Raw genomic sequence first — 19,600 nt, 5'->3', positions numbered from 1 at the left:
TCAGGGAGGCCGAGGGGGTGGATCACCTGAGGTGAGGAGTTGGAGACCAGCCTGGCCAACATGGTGAAACCTTGTCTCTACTAAAAATACAAAAATTAGCCTGCTGTGGTGGCGGGTGCCTGTAATCCCAGCTACTCGGGAGGCTGAGCCAGGAGAAGATTGCACCACTGCACCCCAGCCTGGGCGACAGGGATGAGACGCTGTCAAAAAAAAAAAAAAAAAAAAAGGAAGGAAAGGAGGGAGGGAGGGAGGGAGGAAGGGAGGGAGGAAGGGAGGGAGGGAGGGAGGGAGGGCCCTTACTCTTCTCCGAGGAAGATCTCTCTGTGTTCCCAATTCTACCTCCTGCTCGTCCCTCCTGTGCCTGCTGCTCTTCTCCTCCATGCTTTCTTCCCACTGTGGTCTTCCTGTTGTCCTGTGCAAGTCTGGGAGTCATTGGTTGCCTCACTTTACACTTACAGTGCAGACCAGGCCTCTATCTCTGTTTCCCCATCTTGCTTTTGCTCTCCCCACCTCTGCCCAGTGCTCTCTCTGCCTCTGTCTCTCTGTGCTCAGTCCCGCTGGCTTTGGGGAAGGTGGAGAGGCTGCATAGGGAAGTGGCAGATAGGAAGATGCTGGCCTGTGCCCTTGTGTGTTCAAGCAAGTTTCCATGGCTGGTGTGTCTCTTTGTCTGGCTAGAGGGATGGGTTCTAATCTCTCTGCTACTTGTTGGCTGGGTGACCTTAGCAGGTCACTTACCCTCTCTGTGCCTTACTTTCCTAGTTTCTAAAGAGGGTCAGTAACTCCCTCTGCACATCTGTCCTGTGCTTGCCTGTCCCAGCGCTTGCCTGTAGGCATCTCGGCCGGGAGTAGGTGGGTGTCCCCTTTTCATGGGTGCACAAGGCAGGAGTGAGAGGATGTCTGAGGAAACTCGTGTCTCCCCCTGACAATCCAGGATGCGTTAGAGCAAGTAAAACAGAATGTTCAGCAATGGAAGTTCCCATGACCAGATTTCTCATCTAGAAAGCCACCAAGGCTGGGGAAGCAGTGTTCACAGTCCATTATAGACCCAACTCCTTGTTCTACTCCTTCTACTCTTTTCACTACTGCACTTGACTAGTGTTTAAAAAAAAAAAACCTGAGGGAGCAGGACACCTGGGTTCTGGAAGAAACTTGGCTTAATCCACCCCTCCCTTTTGGGCCCACATTCCTGAGCCCTTCGGTGTCAAGAATGATGAAAATTAGCTGCAGTTAATAATTAATCTCTAAAGATCCTTGGGAGGCCCGGGCATGGGTGGGGGCCCAGACACCTGCAGGAGGGACGCCTCCCTGGTCCCCGCTTCCCTCTCCATTTCCCTGTCTGTAGGACCCGCACTCACTCCCTCAAACCTGGAGACACAAGGGAGGGGTGGGACACAGAGTGGAAAAGAGGGGACTTCCTTCTATTTTCCCCAAAAGCACAGTGAATGGTCCTCTCCTGGGTCCTCTCTTACTGGGAGAACTGGAAAATCCAGTTGACCAGATTCCTCCTCCCATTTCCCCTCAAACACTTATGCTAAGGCTTGAGTGGGGTGTAGAAACAGGCCTGTTAAGGAGAGGCCACCGGGACTTCAGTGTCTCCTCCATCCCAGGAGCGCAGTGGCCACTATGGGGTCTGGGCTGCCCCTTGTCCTCCTCTTGACCCTCCTTGGCAGCTCACATGGAACAGGTGAGGGCTAGAGGGCAGGACTCCTGGGTCCCTGTGGCAAGAAGAGGCCAGAGAAAAGGGGTGGGACTTCATGGTCCCTGAGAGTGACAGAGACACCCCAGTCCTGAGCTTCCAAGAGGCTCTGGAGGGGCATTGCTGGGGAAGAGGAACTGTGCCGGGGAGCGTGAGCAGGAAGGTTCTGTGTCTCCGGAGGAATCAGCCCTGACTGCTGGGTCCTAAGCTGTACTTCTGGATCCGCAGGGCCGGGTATGACTTTGCAACTGAAGCTGAAGGAGTCTTTTCTGACAAATTCCTCCTATGAGTCCAGCTTCCTGGAATTGCTTGAAAAGGTAGTTCTTTGGAAGGGGAAAGATGGGGCTGTGTGTTTGTGAGTCAGTTTGGGCCTCTGCTGGGGTCTGGATGTCTCCGTGGTGGGAATGGAGAGCTCTCTTACATGGCGCCCTTTAACCCTTTGTTCCCAGCTCTGCCTCCTCCTCCATCTCCCTTCAGGGACCAGCGTCACCCTCCACCATGCAAGATCTCAACACCATGTTGTCTGCAACACATGACAGCCATTGAAGCCTGTGTCCTTCTTGGCCCGGGCTTTTGGGCCGGGGATGCAGGAGGCAGGCCCCGACCCTGTCTTTCAGCAGGCCCCCACCCTCCTGAGCGGCAATAAATAAAATTCGGTATGCTGAATTCAATAACTTGCTTGACTCTGTGGGTCCCTGAGCACAGAGCTGGCAGGAAGTGGGGGTTGGATGCTCAAGTCTCTGACTGTCCCCCTGTTGAGCAGAGGGTTCCAGGGATGGACAATGTCTCCCTCAACACCAGTGTCACAGGCCTACAAGGCATCTGGGGAGTTGTTTGGGGACACACACACCACACACATATACGCATGCATAGGAACACACACCAAATTGAGATCTTTGGAACACCTGGGAATAAAGAGAAGCAACATTTATTGAAGTCCTGCTTTTCTCCTGCATCCCTATTTCGATGCTTGCAGCAGTCTTGAATGTGGCATACTAGGTATCATTATCCTATTTTACAGATAAGGAAATTGAAGCTCAGAGAGGGCAAGTCACTCACCTGAGATCTAATAGCAGTGGAGAAGTCAGGCACTAGACAGAGGTCTTGGTTTAAGCAAGATTTTTATTTCATTTCCCTTTGCTTAAGCATTGGGGCCAGGGGCTCAAAAACCAAAGAAAGAGACATAGGCAGAACACCCCCAGGACATGGTTCCCCTGGCCCATGGATCCACACAGGTAATTGGGGTGGGAGGTGGGTGGGCACTCAGGTGAGAGATGACGGGTTCAGCTTGTGAGAGGATGCCCAGCCAGGCGCAAGTGCTGGGGAGGAGAGGCCAGGTGCAAGCTGAGCCTGTCCTGGTTAACCATGTGAGTATGAGGTGACACCAGCCCACATGTGAATTCCTGGGCATGTTTCTTATCCTCTTGGAGCCTCCATTTCTTCACTCGCAAAATGGGAACAATGATGGTACCTGCTGTAGTGTGACAGGTCCCCTACCAGGTTACTTAACGGTGTATGCCACTGCCTGAATCCTGAAGGCCAGGTGGCGAGCCAAGGTCACGGTGCCTGGCCGAGGAGCAGGTGTCCCTGAGAACCCAAACATCCCGGAGAGTATCTGGGAACCCACCAAGGAAAACAGTCCATTCGCACACACACAGTCGGCAGAGTCAGAAAATTAGCTTGAAAGCAGCTTTAGCATGGGAGGCAGCACGGATCTCTAAAGCTGTCCTGCTGCCATCCAGGAGTGCCTTGTATGTAAGTCCTAAAAAACTCATCTACTCACCAAGCTGGACTTGTCTGAGTCACTTTTTGGCCTCTCAGCTCCCTCCCAGTTTGGGGGAAGGTTTTTGTTGTTGTTGTTTTGTTTTGTTTTTACACAATTCTGAGTTTTTCTCATTATTCCTGCACCATCAGGTTGTTGTGAGGATCACACAGGGAAGCTACTTAGGGACATATCACAGCCTGTCTTATAGGTCGTCGGCAGGATGGTAGGGATTGCTGTTAGGATGGAAACCTGGTCCCAACATATAACTCCTAGTCCCCTGGGGTTCAGGGTCCTCCTTATGCTGATTTCTGAGGCAGGCACTCCTGACCACCTTCTCAAGATTATCTTGGCCAGGCGCAGTGGCTCACTCACGCCTGTAATCCCAGCACTTTGGGAGGCCAAGTCAGGTGGATCACCTGAGGTCAGGAGTTCAAGACCAGCCTGGCCAACATGGTGAAACGCCATCTCTACTAAAAACACAAAAATTAGCTGGACATGGTGGCATGTGCCTGTAGTCCCAGCTACTTCGGGGAGCTGAGGCAGAATTGCTTGAACCTGGGAAGCAGAGGCTGTAGTGAGCCAAGACCATGCACTCCAGCCTGGACTACAGAGCAAGACTCTGTCTCAAAAAAAAAAAAAAAAAAAAAAAAATTGACTTCTCACCAGCTCTCAAAACACAAACTTGCAGCTCAGACTTGAGCAGTGGGGGGTACTGATAGGATTGCTCTCTGTCCTCTGTGGTACCCACTCTGCCCCCCACACCTACACAACCCTCCATTATCTCCATATGAAATTGGAGACTGACTCCTTTGGAGACAGAAGACAACAAGAGTTCAGTATGGAGCATCACTGAAGATGAGGGGAGCATAGAAAATGGCAGGGTGGAAAAAAAACACTTAAAAAATTGGTCTACCTTCCTTCACAACTGTCCTGGGACAATTAGCCCCCAAGGAGAGGTAGCAGGGGGCTCCAAAGGAGACTAGTATTTTATGACTTGCCCCTAGCCTGCAGTAATGGGCAGGTGACGCCCATGGGGCAGCTGTGAGGATCCCCAAACAAGTTGGGGGACTGGATATCTGAATGTCCAAGAGGTTGGTAGAGCAGACAGCTAAATGCACCTCAACCTGGTTCCTAGACTTCAGGGCCTGAGATCACCAGGATGTGATTTCCAGATTATTTTTCTCAAAGAATTGTCTCCCAAGGCTCAAAACAGAGCAGTGCAGTGAAGAGTGCTTTGGGGTTCACCAGACCTGGGGGTGGCAGAGACTGCTAACTGGCCCCCCTAACAGCCATCCTCCTCCTTTTGGATAGTCATGTAGATTTCAACTCAGCATGTGGATCATTACATTTCCCAGCCTCCCTTGCAGCTAGCTGTGGCCATGTGATCACGTTCTGTCCAATAGGATGCAAGTAGAAAGGAGGTGGGCAACTTTCTGGTAGTATCCTTGAAAAGAAAGGAGCTTCCATTTCAGAGGAGGAAAAGCAAAGTTCTTGAAACAGCCTATAAGGTCTTAGATCAGTGCTTTCCAATAGAACTTTCTGTGATGATGGAAATGTTTTATAACCGTGCTGACGAACATAGTAGCCACTGGCCACATGCAACTACCAAAACACTTGAAATATGGCAAGTACGACTAAGAAACTGAACGTTTTTATTTTATTTAATGCTTTAGGTAGCCAACTGGCTACCATTTTGGACACAAGCCCCAGATTGTCCGCCTTGAGTCTTCCCTACCCCCCACCAATTCCCCACCCTCACCTCTGTTTCTCCACCTCCCACCATCCTCCCCTTCTCACTCTGCCCCACCACACTGGTCTCCAGGCTACTCCTCGAGCTGTCTGACCATGCCTCTATCTGTTTTCCTCTGGCCCTTCCCTTTGTCTGGAACGCTCTTCCTATACCTCCTACAAGCCTTTGCTTAAACCTCACCTTTACAGTGAGTTCTGCCCTGACCCACTATTTAAAAGTACAACCTGCCCCCCGCCACACAAACACATTAGAGTCCCCTTACCTTGTTCTATCCTTTTTCCCTCCCCTGCATTCATGACATTCAAACATAGTATATCGTTCACTCATTTGTATGTTATTTCTGACTGTCCTGCTAGAAGGAAAGTACTACAAGGGCACAGAATTTTGTTTCACTCACTGATGAATCTAAGTGTCCAGAATAAGGCCCAGCCCATCCATAGCAGGTGCTCAAAAAAAAAAAAAAAAAAAAAAAAAAAACACCTTGCTGAAACAGAGTAAAAAGAAAAAGAAAACTGCCCATCCCCTTCTTTCCCTCCTCCCTCTGGGTGGAAATGCAGACACGGTGATGGGAGCTGGTGCAGACCTTGGACATGAAGTTTGACAATGCATCAGAATGGCAGGAAAATAAGATTGAAGGAGGTGTGGGCTCCCATTATTGCAGATCTCTGCACTACTTATGCCCAGCAGAAGAAACATCCACCTCATCTAAGCCACCATTATATTTGAAGTTTAGTTACAGCAGCCAGAAAGAGCCTGCACCTAATTTATTGGGTTAGGTCCCAGTGGAGACTTTTCTCTGAGCACACGTCTTCATCTCCAAAATGGGGGCTGGGCGCAGTGGTTTATGCTTGTAATCCCAACACCTTGGGAGGCCAAGGCAGGTGGATTATTTGAGCCCAGAAGTTCAAGACCACCCTGGCCAACATGGCAAAACCCTATCTCTACAGAACAATTTTAAAAATTAGCAGGGCAGGGCTGGGCATGGTGGCTCATGCCTGTAATCCAAGCATTTTGGGAGGCCGAGGCAGGCAGATCACTTGAGGTCAGGAGTTCAAAACCAGCCTGGCCAACATGGTGAAACCTTGTCTCTACTAAAAATACAAAAAAAATTTAGCTGGGCGTGGTGACAGACAACTGTAATCCCAGCTACTCAAGAGGCTAAGGCAGGAGAATCACTTGTACCAGAGAGGTAGAGGTTGCAGTGAGCCAAGATCTCACCAGTGCACTCCAGCCTAGGTGACAAAGCAAGACTCCGTTTCCAAAAAAAAAAAAAAAAAAAAAAGTAGCAGGGCACAGTGGTGCACACCTGTGGTCCCAGCTACTCAGAAGTCTGAGGCAGGAGGATCACTAGAGCCCTGGAGGTTGAGGCTACAGTGAGCCATGATTATGCCACTGCACTCCAGCCTGAGCAACAGAGCGAGACCCTGTCCCAAAAATAAAGTAAAAATAAAAATCTCCAAAATGGAGCTAACACCCGCCTCATGAGGTTTTCAGTAGGATTAAATGGCATTGTACATCTAGCACCACAGAGGACCCAGCCCAGGACAGGCTACTCAGAGCTGCTGGACAGAATGTACTCTGGGCGTGGAAGGGCCAGGCCCTTGAATTCCATGGAGATGAGATGGTGTTTGGCGTGGGTAAGGTGGCTGGCTGTGCTGTGAATGTGTAACTCAGAGGCTGGGCACTCAGGTGTCAGAGCACAGAAGGTGGGGGCACACCATCTGCAGCACAGCCTGCAGCCCATCAGGTCTGGAGGAAGTCCTACTTCTCTCAGCACCTCTAGGGATACAGCCAAGGAGCGGGGAAGCTTCCATTTAGTGAGAAGTGGAGGAGAAAGAGCCTGCAAAAGCCAGGGCACTGTCAGTTAGTCCAGAAAGTAGGTAGAACCGGAACCACTGTGCCCATACCCTACCCATGACTAGAAAGTTCCTCTTCCTCCAGCGAGGACCCCTCCTCCTCTTTTCCCAGACCAAGCTCTCAGGGGACAACTCAGAAGCACAAAAGTCACCACTGGGAGCAAAGGGGACCAAAGAGCCATAAACAGACATGTTTGGGATTTCAAAAGTTTATCTCAATCTCCTCATTCCCAGACTTCCAGGTGGGAGGCAGGCCGGGCAGTAATGTGAGCATCTCAAGGACACCACAGTCACTGCGACCAAGCCAGTCTGTGTCCTCATTTACACAATGAAGGCGATGGACCACATAGTCTCTGACGTCCCACTGCACCCTGACAGCTGACAAATCTGTTTGTCCTCAAAGACAGGTCTGAGAGGGAGGAAAACTGATGGGGATGATGAGTTAGAGCTCCGGGCTCCCTGGGGCTGGAGGCTCATCCATCAGCTGCCGGAGGTGAGAGGCTGCCTTGTCCAGTTTTGACAATTCCAGCTGGAGGGAAGAAAGCTGGACGAGGAGAAAAGGAGGTGAGGATCCAGGAATGAGGCCCCTCCTGGCCCACATTCCCTCAGGGGTGGAGCCTTCTGGGGGCCTCCCTCAGCCTTACCTTTTGTTGCCTCTGAGTCCCTGCCTCCCCTTCTGATGGGGTCCTGGCTGTGAGGCTGTCAAGCTGCTTCTGCAACTTGTACCTTCGGGCGGCTAACAGAGGTAGCTGGATCTGCGGGTCCACCAGGCCCTGGGGAAGAACAGGGAGAAAAGGCTCAGACATCCGCCTGCTGCCAGGCCTCCATCCTCCATTAGAAGGTCCCTTCCCCTACTTTATAGAGCCCAGCCCCTCCCTTCCTCCCAGCATGCTTCCCAAGCCTGCCCTAACCCTCCCCATCCCCTCTGGTCACCTGCAGCTCCATGTAGACTTGAGCCGTGTCACTGAGTGGAGCCTGGGCCCAGCCGGAGGGAGCTGCTGCGCCTGGGGGTAACAGGCCCACAGCCCCACAGTAGCCCAGGGTGCCCAGGGGCTCCAAGAAGGCCTCGAAGAGGCCCTGGTCCCCAGGCTCTGAGCTCTGCAGCAGCACTGGAAAGAAAGAAACTGTCAGGGGCAAGGCCTCAGCTCCTGCCTCCCTTCCTACCCTGCACCTCCTAACGGGGGGGTTGGCCCTTCAGGCTCTGCTCTTTTCCCCACCAGCCCCCTTTTCCTGCAGGGATCCGAGCCCAGGACCCGCCTTGCCTCACCTCGGGGCCGGGCTTTGGTGAGCTGGTACGTGGCTCGGAGAGCCCTTAGCACCTGCACGACCTCTTGGACCCGGGAGAAGCGCCGCTCCAGCTCTGGCTGGCGCCAGTGCTCCTGGCAATGGGGGGGACCCAGAATTGGCAAAGGGGCTCCTGGGAGACTCAGTACCAACCCTGCTGGCTCTCTTCTCGACCCATCCACCCCATCTCCTTAGGGCAATGAGATCTGTCCTCAGCACCACAGAAAATCCACTATCTCAAGGAACATGACAAAAAGTGAGGCGTCATTTAAGAGGTTTTAGATGATCAGTGTTTGATGCCTGTTTAGTTGCTGTGATTGAAATGGCCAACCAAAAATAAATTAGAATTTAAAATGAATTAGTCAAAACTCAAAACCAAATAAGTATAAATTTAAATAGTTAAATTTTAAAATAATTTTTGGGTGAGTTCATAGCATTTATCCTTCTGAAGTTATTAAAGCTGCACTGAGATTTTGGGGACACCCTATTACTAACTTATCCAACCCTCATCACAACCATAACATATACTATTACTGTTCCTAGTTTAAACATGCGGGAAACTGAGGCTCGATCACACAGCTCAAAAATAGCAGTCTAGCAACAGAGTCCTGCTCTTGAGCACTACGCTAATACTGTCCCTCAAGACCCTAGGGTCATCGCAGCAACCCTGCAGGAACAATCCATCTTCCCCAGGGCTCCACAGTAAAGTACGAACCATTCCTGCAGATGAGCCCCCTGCAGCAAACCCCTTCAGAAGGTGCTCCCCCCCATTCACCCACAGACCCACTCCAAGGTGCTTGGGACTCACCAAGCTGCAGGCGCTGGGGTAGGGGGCAACCGAGATGCTGGGGGCAGGGGGGCAACCAGGCCTGGGGGGCAGCCTCTGCCAGAGCTCTTCAGCCAGGAAGGGCATCAGTGGGGCCAGGAGGCGGAGGCCGAGGTCAGCGCAGGAGAACAGGACCTGAGGGGGCCCCAGGGGGCGGGGCGAGTGCCACAGCACGGGCTTCACAGCCTCCTGGAGAGGAAGCCAATGGTCAGAGGACAGGTCCAGGGCCACAGCCCTCCTCCCTACAGCCACTGCTACCCGCCAGTGGGGCAGGCCATGGGTCCTGGGAGAGAGGGACAGGCAGAAGCACTTAGCACTTCTGATATGATCCACAGTCCCAGGACACACTCAGCACAAAGAAGGGGACTCCAGGACAGCAATTCTCTGCAGTACACAGGGACAGGATTTCCAGGGAAACATGTAGTTTAGGGAAAAAAATCATTGAGTTTTTTGCTTATCAACAGGGGACAGAGGTTTTTAAAAGGCTGAGCTAGGGCAGTGGTCCACAGCCAGCAGCAGCAGCACCACTTGGGACAAGAAATGAATATTCATTACACCACCCACCCCCACCCCAACCTGCTAAAGGAGCCACTCTGGGGTGGCAGTGGAGCGGGGGGGATCCACCGTCAACAAGCCCTCCAGGTGCTTTGGACGTAGGACAGCGTGAGAACCCCTGGTCTAAAGACCGCTGCTAGTCCCTCCCAGGCCTCTCTCAGCACGCAGCCTGCCCATGGGCCAAACTCAGCAACTACAGGGACTGAAAAAATTCCCCTCTGCCTTCTGACACCGACTTGTCAGACATTTCTAGAAGTCTCCCTCCTCCTCCTCTCCCCAGGTGACAGGCAGGCAACAGTGCCTGGGCTGCACTGCCAAAACCAGTCCCAGGAAGAGGGGAACTGAGACTCCCTCGTCTCCTCTCCTCTCCTAACTGAGGGGACAATTGGGAACTTATTAACTCCAGAGCTCTCTGCCTTGGAAATTTCCAGAGGAATTAGAAGCAGGCATGGGAATACCAAGCCTCCCCCAGCCTCACTCACCAGGTAGACGTCACAGAGGTTGTGAAGCCAGAAGTGGTGCAGGGCATGAGTGACGAGCGAGAGCTCTCGGGTGAGGAAGCCCCGCTCACACTCCTGGGCAGCCAGGGCAAGGCGGCTCAGGATCCAGGCATCCATCGGGGAGGAGGGAGACAGCTGCAGGCAGAGGGGGCAGGATGGCCTGACTCCCCCTCCCCTGCCTCCTTTCCTTCCAGATGCCACCTTGGCCCTCTGACACCTGACTACCCTACTCCCAAGCACCTCTGTTTTCTCTTACCTCCTCAGCAGGCTGTGGCACAAATTTCTCCCCTAAAGCATTGAGGATAAAGCGAAGAGCATTCCAGATCTTGTTGCAGAAATGTCGGCAGCTCTGGACCTCAGAGACTGACAGGTGCAAGTCGCCCGCTGGAAGGGAAGAATCGAGGTAGTCTGCATGTAGGTGGCAGCAGCACCAGAAGTCCTGCCCCTGCCCTGCCCCTGCACAGGTGCCCGCTGCCCTCTGCTCACCCCGACACCCCTCGCCCAGGCTTACCCTGAACTCCATGGGAGCAGAGTGTGAATCTCAGGGCATCTGTCCCACACTCAGGGATCCCGTGAGGAAAGTCCTTTTTCTGCAACCAGAGGAAGAAGAAGGGTGGCAGATGCCTTTGTGGCTGCAGGGCCAGGACCTGGGTTGCAGAGGAAGCCAGAGGTGGTGAGCTAGAGCTGGTGGGGGGCAGGCAGCGATGACTCACCTGTGCTGCAGCCACAATGGCCAGCTCTGCAGGGTCCAAATTTCCGCTTCTCAGCTTTTCCTGCAGCACCTGGGGATGGAAGGGGGCAATTCACGACCCAGGTCGAAGGCCCTGCCTCTATAAGGGTCACACCTGCTGGCCTCACTCCTCCCTCAGCCTGCCTTCCTCTCTCCTGCAAACCCTGCAAACCTTGTCCCTCTAGTGGGTGCTTCGTCCTCACCTGCATCTCCACCCCACTGATGATGTCTCTTGGGTCCAGCACATTCCCCAGGGACTTGCTCATCTTCCGGCCCTGCCTGTCCCGAACCATGGGATGAAGAAGCACCTGGGGGCAGGGAGGGGTCAACAGAGGGGGGTTTCCTTGGAGGTGCCTTGGGATCTCTGGCCTCCATACTTTTGGGGGTAGGGTAGGAAGTGAATTAGGAAAAAGGAATCAGCAACGTGGAAAGGACCACATTAGGGGTTAGAAGGGAGGACAAGGTTTGGGGAACACTGGAGTCACAGAAAGCGGCAGGGCACTGAAGGGCTCTTACCTTGCTGAAGGGCAGCTGCCCTGTGAGCTGGGTCCCCAACATGACCATGCGGCCCACCCAGAACAGCAGAAGGTCGCTGCCCGTTTCCAAAAGTGACAGGGGGTAGAAACGAGCAAGGTCTGGGGTCTAGGGGGAAGAGGAGCAGTAAGAGGCCCAGGCCCCAGGCCCCCCTCAAGCCTCTGTGGGGGCCCAGCCATCCCTTCCTTATCGTTTCCCCTTCACTTTCGCCCTCTCAACCCACCTCACCTCTTGGGGCCAGCCCAGGGCAGAAAAGGGGAACAGGGCAGAAGAAAACCATGTGTCTAGGACATCAGGATCTGGGAAACAGAAAAAGAATGGGGACAGTTGGAACCTTGGCTTCTAGGACCTCAGACCACTGCTGCCACCATTCTAGGCCAACCCCCACCCCCAGAGACCAGGGCTGTCCCCTTTGGCTCCATTCCCAACTTTCCTGACCCTACCTTCTGTATCTTGGGATCTGTTCCCCTCAAAGGCCCAGATGCCCAGGCCCCCGCTCCCCTGTACATCCCTCCCCAGCTCAGGCACTCACCCCTCTCCAGGGTCAGCTCTGCCCCTGGCCTCCCTGTCAGTTCCGCTGCTACCTCTCTGGCCTCAGCCTCTGACCGCCCAACCACCCAACAGTCCTCTTCTCCCTGCAAAAGTAGGAAGGGGTTGGGGAGAGTGAGGAAGAACAGCTGACAGGTGTAAATGTCACTTGGTTTTCACGTCCTCATGTGGTCTTAGAGTGGCCAGGTTCCCCCAGGGGTGAGATAAAGAAATGCCACTTCAGGGAGCCTTGATCGCGCAGAAGGTTACATGACTATGAGCATGAAGCACATGACCAGGCAGGAGCGGGACTTGGCCCTGCGGAGCTCTGACTCCTGGGCTAGGTGCTCTGTGCCACACTCGGCCCTCCGGGTGCTTCTTCCTACCCACCTGCGCATGGTCCTCTACAACCAGGTAGGCTGGAATCTGATGGCCCCACCACAGCTGCCGGGAGACACACCAGTCCCTGCCGGGAGGACATTCGTGAAGTCTTAGAATAACCAGTCAGTCCCCCCTCCCCATCTCCACAAGAGCTCCCCTTACCCTACCCTTACCCAATATGGGAAAACCAGTGCTGCCAGTTCTTCTGGTGGAAGGAGGGACTGAGCTCCAGGGCCCCCGACTCCACAGCCTGGAGAGAAAGGGGACTTTAGACAATGTTGCCCTTCCTGCACGGCCGCACCTCCACAGATAGGACGAGTGGCCTCTGAGGTCATTTTAAAACTCAGAAAGGACCTCCCAAGCCTCTTGCCAAGATTCTGGGCTTGAGTAAGGATATGAGCCAGCCCTTGCTGGGCCGCCCAGCCTCCATCCCACACATCCTCTCAGTTACCACAGCTGGAGAGGTCTTCAGGGCAGGAGGTCTCCTGCTTCCCATTTCTTCATTCCAATTCTCAGGGAGCTCCCCCAACCCCTGGCCCCAGTCCTTCCTACACTGCAGCCTCACCTTGGCAGCTCGGGCCCCCATTTCCTGGCAGCGGACAAACCACTGGTTCTTCAGCAGGTATTCTATCACATCCCCAGAACGGCTGAAAGAGAGACAGGGTGAGTCCACTGCTCTTCCGGCCCTGTGACTTCTCCCAGGGGCACAAGACCCCATGCCATGCCAGGCCCTTGGTACTGAGGATACAATAGCGAATAAAACCGACACGGAGCTCGTATTCTAACGGAGGGGTGCAGAGCCCATCCTATTGTCACCCTTAAGCTCCATACATTCCCTTTTGGGGTAGCCCTTAGTAAAGGAGTTAAAATGAGGTTACCTGCAGATGGGCAGTACCATGGGGTGGTTCTGGAGGCCCCGGAACAGGCCCCATTCACTCAGCACAGACATTATCTTTTCCCGGGCCACAAACCGGTGAAGACCCTGGAGAAAAAGCGGCAAGAGTAAAGACTGAAGGCCTCTAGAGAAATAAGAAACTAGGAGGAGGATTAGGGGGACAGAGAGCCCCCAAAGGATGGGGTAACATAGGGTGGTACCACCTGCAGCCAGTCCCCGCAGAGGGAGGTCATGGTCCCATCCTCCGCAATGACATTCAAGGGGCTCAAGCCATGTCGGGCCCCCATCTCAGCATCGGCAGGACTGTGAGCTGGAGTCACCTTCACTGCCCCTTGGGGAGCACAGCCATGGTGAGTACTGAACCTGACCTTGGCTTTTGCTTTTCCAGATGTATCATCATCACCTGCACCGCCCCAGCCCCTGCGACTTTCTCTGTCTGTGCCTCCCTCCCATTCCCCACTCAGACCACCCTATATGAGGATCTCCCACTCCCACCTTCCTCTTCCTCCTGGTTCCCTCCCCTCTCCTCCAGGACCCCCAACTTTCTCTCCCTCCCCTGACTTCCACTCACCCGTGCCCACATGTGGCTGAACAGCATAGTCTGTGATGAGGGGAAGAGGCTGCCCCATCAAGGGGTGACGAAGCTGTCGCCCGTGTAGATGCTGAAGGGAAGGGAGAGGGATCAAGGACAGGCACCTGTGAGGGTTGGAAGGGTCTGGGCTGGGGCGTGAGAACCCCAGGAATAAGAAGGTAGAAAGTGGAAGGTAGCAAGCTAGAGCAAGGTCAGCAAACTCTTAAGGGGCCAGAATGTAGATATTTTAGGCTTTTGGGCCTAGAGACAAATTCATTCTCAGCACAATTACTCTATTATGCCACTGCAGCAGAGCTGGAGAGGGTATATAATAGCAGCCATAGATAATATAAAGGCTGCAAGCAGCCAGGCGCGGCGGCTCACGCCTGTAATCCCAGCACTTTGGGAGGCCGAGGTGGGCAGATCACGAGGTCAGGAGATCGAGACTATCCTGGCTAACACAGTGACACTCCGTCTCTACTAAATAACATTACTTAAAAATTACATTACTTAAAAAAAATTAATTACTAATTTTTGTAAAAATACAAAAAATTAGCTGGGTGTGGTGGCACGTGCCGGGCATGGTGCCACGCTCCCAGCTACTCAGGAGGCTGAGGCAGGAGAATTGCTTGAACCCAGGAGGTGGAGGTTGCAGTGAGCCAAGATCACACCACTGCCCTCCAGCCTTGGTGACAGAGCGAGACTCTGTCTCAAAAAAAAAGGCCGCAAGCTGGATTAGGACCATGGGCCAGTTTGTCAACCCCTGAGCTACAGAAAAACTATAAGAGGAGGAGGGAGTCCAATCAGAACCACTGAGAGAAGTCTCAGGAAAAGGAAGTAGAAGCAAGAGAGAAAGAGCCACCATTTAAAACCCAAGAGAAGAGAAGGCCATTGGCGGGGCGGGCCAGAGTGCAGGAGCGCACTGGGTATTACTGTGTATCGCGAGTCGTCTGGATGAACGGCCACAGCCACATCTCCAGGCAGCGTCTCTGGCCTTGTGGTTCCTACCACAACCTCTGCATCTGAAGATAAACATTTAAACACTTACAGCTGGTCATCATCCTCACCTCTCACTGCCAACATAGCTAAAGGCAGTAGAACTGGAAAGGGGAAGGGGCAGGGAGTAGTCAAGGTGGAAGAGGCCCCCAGGAGTGACTAGAAAAAAGTAGGAGCAGTGTTTATAGGAACCCAGGGTTTCCCATAAGCTGATGACCAGAGGTCTGAGAGGGTCTCTGGTGCTAAAGAATTCCCTGATAATTTGCATGGAAGAAATGGGGGCAGCATTAATTAAAGCAACTATAATAGAATTCTTGCTGGGTGCCCAGAGGACACTGGGGATTCTCAGTGTCCTAATCACAAATGCTGTACATTCCTCAGGGGGAGCACCAGCTCCTACAAGAAGCTTCCACTGACAATTCCAGCTCATCTGTCTTCCCTTTCTCTGAGCTCTTCAGAACATTTACCGTAAAAACCACACCTTAGAGGCCAGGTGCAGTGGCTCACGCCCGTAATCCCAGCACTTTGGGAGGCCAAGGCGGGCAGATCACGAGGTCAGGAGTTCGAGACCAACCTGACCAACATGGTGAAACCCCGTCTCTACTAAAAATACAAAAATTAGCCAGGCCTGGTGGCACGCGCCTGTAATCCCAGCTACTCAGGAGGCTGAGACAGGAGAATCGCTTGAACCTGGGAAGCAGAGGTTGCAGGAGCCGAGATCGTGCCATTGCACTGCAGCCTGGGTGACAGAGTGAGACTCTGTCTCAAAACAAACAAACAAACAAACAAAACAAAACATACCTTAGAACTGATCTCTTTCCTGGGTAGCGCACTCCTGAAGAATCACACCACACTCTCAAAGGGCAGTGACCACATGCACTTTTTGTACATCCCCCAGAAGACCCTGGGTAAGTGCCCACGCTGAGGTGAACACTACCAAGGTACATGTGAGAGATGGACTGATGGGTTCCTAGCAGCCCAACATGGGCTTCAGAAAACAGGAAAAATGGAGGTAAACGGGTGACCCTGCAGAGTACTATGCTCACCAGGCTCTCCATCCACGGGGAAGGCAACAGAAAATAGGAGGCCAAAAGACACGGGGGTGGGGCAGCCAGGCAGTCGAAGCTGTGTGTGGCCAGGCAGGGGCCGGTTCTCCACCTGGAGGCACCGAGAAAGCTGGGTCAGAGGGCAGCCTTTCTGCAAGGCTCATGCCCAGGCTTCACTCTGCCACTCATCCATCTGCCCAGCCTCCCTGCAATCCATCTAAAAGCCATTTGGAGGATTCGGGAGCTACCTCCCTCTGCCCTCACCCAATGCTCGTGCAGTCACACTTCTAATAAATATTCACTGAGCACTTAAGCCATGGCCAGGTATCTTGCCAAGCACCTATGTGAATTCTCATTTAATTTTTACAACACCCCCACGATGCAAGCATTCCATCATCTCTAATTTACAGACTGAGGAAGCTGAGGCTTAAAGAGACTAAACGGCCTGCCAAAAGCCACACAGCTGTAACAGGCAGGCATCAGATTTGAATCCAGGCACCCTGGCTCCAGAGTCTGAGCTCTTAATCATTGACCACTCTGCCTCAGAGCTCTCACAAACCTGCTTCCCTCTCTCCGCCTCACCTCAATGTCCGAGATGGCTGATCTTAAAGCACATGACCAGTTGACAAGCTGATGGTTCCGGTACAGCAACCCCGCCTTGTAGAGCCGCACAAAAGCTTCAGTCACAGCCACTGAGGAGCCCTGGAATGACCTGAGTGTCCACCTCTAAGAGCCACTTCTCAGCCCATCACCCTGCTCAGGGACCCAGGCATTGCTTCCTCCCTGCCCCACACAGATCCCTAAACATCGCCCATCACTCACAGGGACCAAGGCACAGAACACTCACAACATCCATGGTAAAACACTCTCGATCCCAGTCCAGGGAGGCACCCAGAGCTCGCAGCTGCTCACAGATCTCTCCACCTTTCCTGTGCCCAGAGAGATCCTTGTCAGCAAACACTTCCCAAGCACTTCCTATGTACCAGGCCCAGCGATGCCCCCAGCAATGCCAGGTGTTGGAGGAAAATCAAGTGAGGATGGCATTGATCTAGCCTCTAGAGGCTAATAGAAATGGACTTACAAACCCAGTATGGGGTTTTCTAAGATATTAAAAGAGGCAAAAGATTCTATAGGAAGAGAGGAGGGATAGCCATATTGTGGGAAATCCAAGGATGCTTCACAGAGATGGCATGAGATAACAGACCCAGAAGAATGAGGGTAATTCCATGGGAATTGAAAGGTGGGAATGGGCGAGTGGAAGAAGGTGAGATTTAGACAAGAGAAATTGGGGTAAGTAAAGAGAAAGAAAATATATATATATATATAAATACACACACACACACACACACACACGAATATTCTAATGCATATATAATATCCACACACATAAGGCTTAGAAACTCCACCAAATGTTAACAGGCTCCAGAGCTTCCATCTCTGAGGAAGTCAGAGCTGTGTCGGGAAGAGCCAAGGATTACAAGTCAGGAGTGATAGTGGTGGGAGGCAAGAAACCAAATCTGCCATCTGGGCCCCCCGAGTCCTGCCCATCATACTCACGCCTCCTTCCACTGCCACACCTCCCTAAGGAAGGCCTCCCGGCTCAGCTCATGTCTCCTCACTCCCCGTTCCTTCCACAGTTGTTTCTCCACCACAGCCTGCAGTTGGATTCAGGGCAAATGAACAGAGTCAGGTTGCTTGGTTGCTTTGGGGGAAGAAATTGCTTTTGCCCAAGAAAAGGAACAGGTAACAAAAGACATACTTGTGTAGCAATTCCTGCATGATCTGAACCAGGGACCCACAGCACTTGATCCCCACGCATCCGGTGCCTGCAACAAAAATGCCCTCCTGTGAGCCCCTGAGCTTAAATGTTTATCCTCACTCATTCCTGCCCTTCCTATTTCCCTTCCAAGAACTCAAGCAGCCCCCACTCCCCTCTCACCAGCGCACGAGGGCATCCTGTATGGCCACCGTGAGTGCGTGGCCAATGTGCAGGGAGCCAGTGACATTGGGAGGTGGGATACACATGGAAAAGGTCTCCCCTGTAGCTTGGGGCAGCCGGGCCTAGAGGAAGAAAAAAAGTCAAAGGGGCAAGAGAGAATTGGATTGGGGAAAGAGCACCCTCTACTGTCTCCAGAACAGAAAGAACTTCAAGGAAGAACTGTCCTGCAAATAAGAGGAGAGTGGAGAGGAGGGAATTGGCCAGGGGGAACCTGCCAAGAGAAATCTTTGGAGACACCAGAGCCAGAAAGAAGACAAGGTCTACAATGTGAGCTCAACTCTGAGGTCCAGTTGTATTCAAGGGCCACTCTGTCCTGGAGACAATTTAGGACCCCTCCCTGCCAGATACTAACCTGATATTCTGGTTTGAAGAAGCCCTCTCGTACCCACCACGGGTACCAGGCAGCCTCAACATATCGGGGGCTGTATGCAGGAGGCAGGGGCCCAGAGACATCTGTGAAGGCAGAGGAGAGCTCCACTAACCACTGAACTTGTTCCCAGGCTGCATTTCGGCAGGCCAAATGGGCAACACATATGTGAAAGAAAAGGCCTTCTTACTTATTCTACTTACCTTTCTTTTCACCGGGTTTCGTAGGGATTTCATACAATACTAACTCCTTAGGCCTCCAGGCCTTAATGGATTCTGCAGGTGACTGAGAAGAGAAAGCAGAAGAGGCTGGGATCCAGTATACCCCAGACTGCATTTCAGCCGGTCTCCTCCAGCCCCTCTCAAGTCTCAGAAACCCAAGGACAAGCTGTCTGACCCCTAACCTTGCTCTCCCCTGCTATCTCAGCCTCCAGAGTCGCCTGCTTCTCTCGCAGGCGCTTCTGTTTGGCTTCACGGTTCCTCCGGGAGATGGGAGATCCATGGGGCTCCGACTGTGTAGAAACGGAGTGAAACCTGGGGAGGCCCCGTGAGTGCCTCAGCCCCCAAAATGGTGGTCGAAAAGAGGCGAGAGGCAAATGAGGCATCAGGAGTGTTTGGAAAGGGGCCGAGATCTGTTCTGGATAGAGAGAGAGCACATTAGGATATGGGGGTGGAGAAGGGTCACTCCCCTTGTTCCATCTTTCCTGTCTCTAATTAGCACAGGTCTGTTATTCCAAGTCTCTATTCCCTTCCACAAAACCTTTCCTCCTTGAGAGCTAGAGTGCATGGTATCGACAGACAGCGCCATGGAGCCACGGATATCAGGGCTCTTCCGGAACAGGGCCGGAGTGTCTGGATTCGGCGGTGACCACTGACACATGAGAGATAGGGCTCAGAAACTCAGGGAGATGATGGGCATCAGCGCGCCCAAGAGCCAGCAAGGAGTCCCGCCAGGGCCGCGGCGATCTCCACCTGCACAGGGGCCTCCTGCAGTGCCCACAGCCCGGCGCGGCCAAGCCTTCCCGCCCATCCCAAGGCCTGGGCCCAGGACCCGCAGCGTCTCCCACTTCCCGGAGGCCGCCCCGGCGCGCGCTCACCAGGAGGCCCCGCCGCTATCCCAGGGCGCCCCGCGGCGGCAGGGACTGAGGAATCCACCAAACCCGACCCTGGAACGTGGCCCTGGAGCCGCGCGGCGCATGGGGGCGGGGCCCCGGCCGGCGCATGCGCAGCAGCTGGCTTTGGCCCCACCCTCTCCCTACCGGTCCAAAGGCTGTAGACCAGAGGAGCGAGTCCGCCGCGAAGGCAAACCCCACGGGGAGGCG

At 53.4% G+C, this 19,600-nt stretch overlaps 2 protein-coding genes across 4 annotated transcripts, besides 4 other annotated features; one reads left to right on the top strand and one right to left on the bottom strand.

Moving 5' to 3' along the window:
* The first annotated feature begins 1,549 nt into the window (after positions 1-1,549).
* SFTA2 (surfactant associated 2) lies at positions 1,550-2,367 on the top strand. Its single transcript, NM_205854.3, has 3 exons — positions 1,550-1,684; positions 1,925-2,013; positions 2,146-2,367. The coding sequence occupies exons 1-3, from the start codon at positions 1,624-1,626 to the stop codon at positions 2,230-2,232; spliced, it is 237 nt and encodes a 78-aa protein (NP_995326.1). The 5' UTR covers positions 1,550-1,623; the 3' UTR covers positions 2,233-2,367.
* VARS2 (valyl-tRNA synthetase 2, mitochondrial) lies at positions 7,261-19,482 on the bottom strand. 3 transcript variants are annotated; one of them, NM_001167734.2, is made up of 30 exons: positions 19,251-19,482; positions 18,683-18,915; positions 18,483-18,564; positions 18,265-18,365; positions 17,853-17,974; positions 17,673-17,739; positions 17,471-17,568; positions 16,761-16,842; positions 16,496-16,615; positions 15,914-16,025; positions 14,805-14,893; positions 13,872-13,962; positions 13,504-13,631; positions 13,284-13,387; positions 12,971-13,052; positions 12,579-12,655; positions 12,415-12,490; positions 12,029-12,131; positions 11,725-11,795; positions 11,479-11,604; positions 11,166-11,270; positions 10,946-11,014; positions 10,744-10,822; positions 10,489-10,616; positions 10,215-10,367; positions 9,160-9,366; positions 8,335-8,446; positions 8,001-8,176; positions 7,712-7,840; positions 7,261-7,611 (listed from the first exon to the last, which is right to left on the bottom strand). In NM_001167734.2, exons 1-30 carry the CDS (start codon positions 19,306-19,308, stop codon positions 7,510-7,512), a joined length of 3,282 nt encoding a protein of 1,093 aa, NP_001161206.1. In that variant the 5' UTR covers positions 19,309-19,482; the 3' UTR covers positions 7,261-7,509. The 3 variants fall into 3 exon arrangements, with proteins under 3 accessions (NP_001161206.1, NP_065175.4, NP_001161205.1); NM_020442.6 differs by having other exon boundaries at positions 18,683-18,910; positions 19,376-19,482; NM_001167733.3 differs by lacking the exon at positions 18,683-18,915 and having other exon boundaries at positions 19,376-19,482.
* Positions 10,293-10,874: an enhancer, noted in NCBI's record as "H3K4me1 hESC enhancer chr6:30890623-30891204 (GRCh37/hg19 assembly coordinates)". NCBI's record gives its function as "activates a minimal SCP1, AML or CMV promoter by ChIP-STARR-seq in naive and primed H9 embryonic stem cells {active_cell/tissue: H9 hESC(naive and primed)}" and the evidence as "EXISTENCE:reporter gene assay evidence [ECO:0000049][PMID:30033119]".
* Positions 10,293-12,037: a biological region, named in NCBI's record as "MED14-independent group 3 enhancer GRCh37_chr6:30889690-30890889".
* Positions 10,608-11,807: an enhancer, noted in NCBI's record as "MED14-independent group 3 enhancer chr6:30889690-30890889 (GRCh37/hg19 assembly coordinates)". NCBI's record gives its function as "activates an origin of replication core promoter dependent on BRD2, BRD4, P300/CBP and CDK7 cofactors, and independent of MED14, by STARR-seq in HCT116 cells {active_cell/tissue: HCT116}" and the evidence as "EXISTENCE:reporter gene assay evidence [ECO:0000049][PMID:35650434]".
* Positions 11,456-12,037: an enhancer, noted in NCBI's record as "H3K4me1 hESC enhancer chr6:30889460-30890041 (GRCh37/hg19 assembly coordinates)". NCBI's record gives its function as "activates a minimal SCP1, AML or CMV promoter by ChIP-STARR-seq in naive H9 embryonic stem cells {active_cell/tissue: H9 hESC(naive)}" and the evidence as "EXISTENCE:reporter gene assay evidence [ECO:0000049][PMID:30033119]".

Source organism: Homo sapiens, chromosome 6, assembly GCF_000001405.40.
Source record: "Homo sapiens chromosome 6, GRCh38.p14 Primary Assembly".
In the NCBI taxonomy this organism is placed as follows: domain Eukaryota; kingdom Metazoa; phylum Chordata; class Mammalia; order Primates; family Hominidae; genus Homo; species Homo sapiens.
Note: the sequence above shows the minus strand (reverse complement) of the source record. Positions and strands in the feature narration are given on the sequence as shown.

Coding starts and splice junctions, on each gene's coding strand:
- SFTA2 (NM_205854.3), top strand. CDS start 1,624: ATGGGGTCTGGGCTGCCCCTTGTCCTCCTCTTGACCCTCCTTGGCAGC. Junction 1,685..1,924: donor TGGCAGCTCACATGGAACAG/GTGAGGGCTAGA, acceptor CTGGATCCGCAG/GGCCGGGTATGACTTTGCAA. Junction 2,014..2,145: donor TCCTGGAATTGCTTGAAAAG/GTAGTTCTTTGG, acceptor CTTTGTTCCCAG/CTCTGCCTCCTCCTCCATCT.
- VARS2 (NM_001167734.2), bottom strand. CDS start 19,308: ATGGGCGGGAAGGCTTGGCCGCGCCGGGCTGTGGGCACTGCAGGAGGC. Junction 16,616..16,760: donor AGTGTTTTACCATGGATGTT/GTGAGTGTTCTG, acceptor AGGTCATTCCAG/GGCTCCTCAGTGGCTGTGAC. Junction 10,368..10,488: donor TGCCACAGCCTGCTGAGGAG/GTAAGAGAAAAC, acceptor CTCTGCCTGCAG/CTGTCTCCCTCCTCCCCGAT.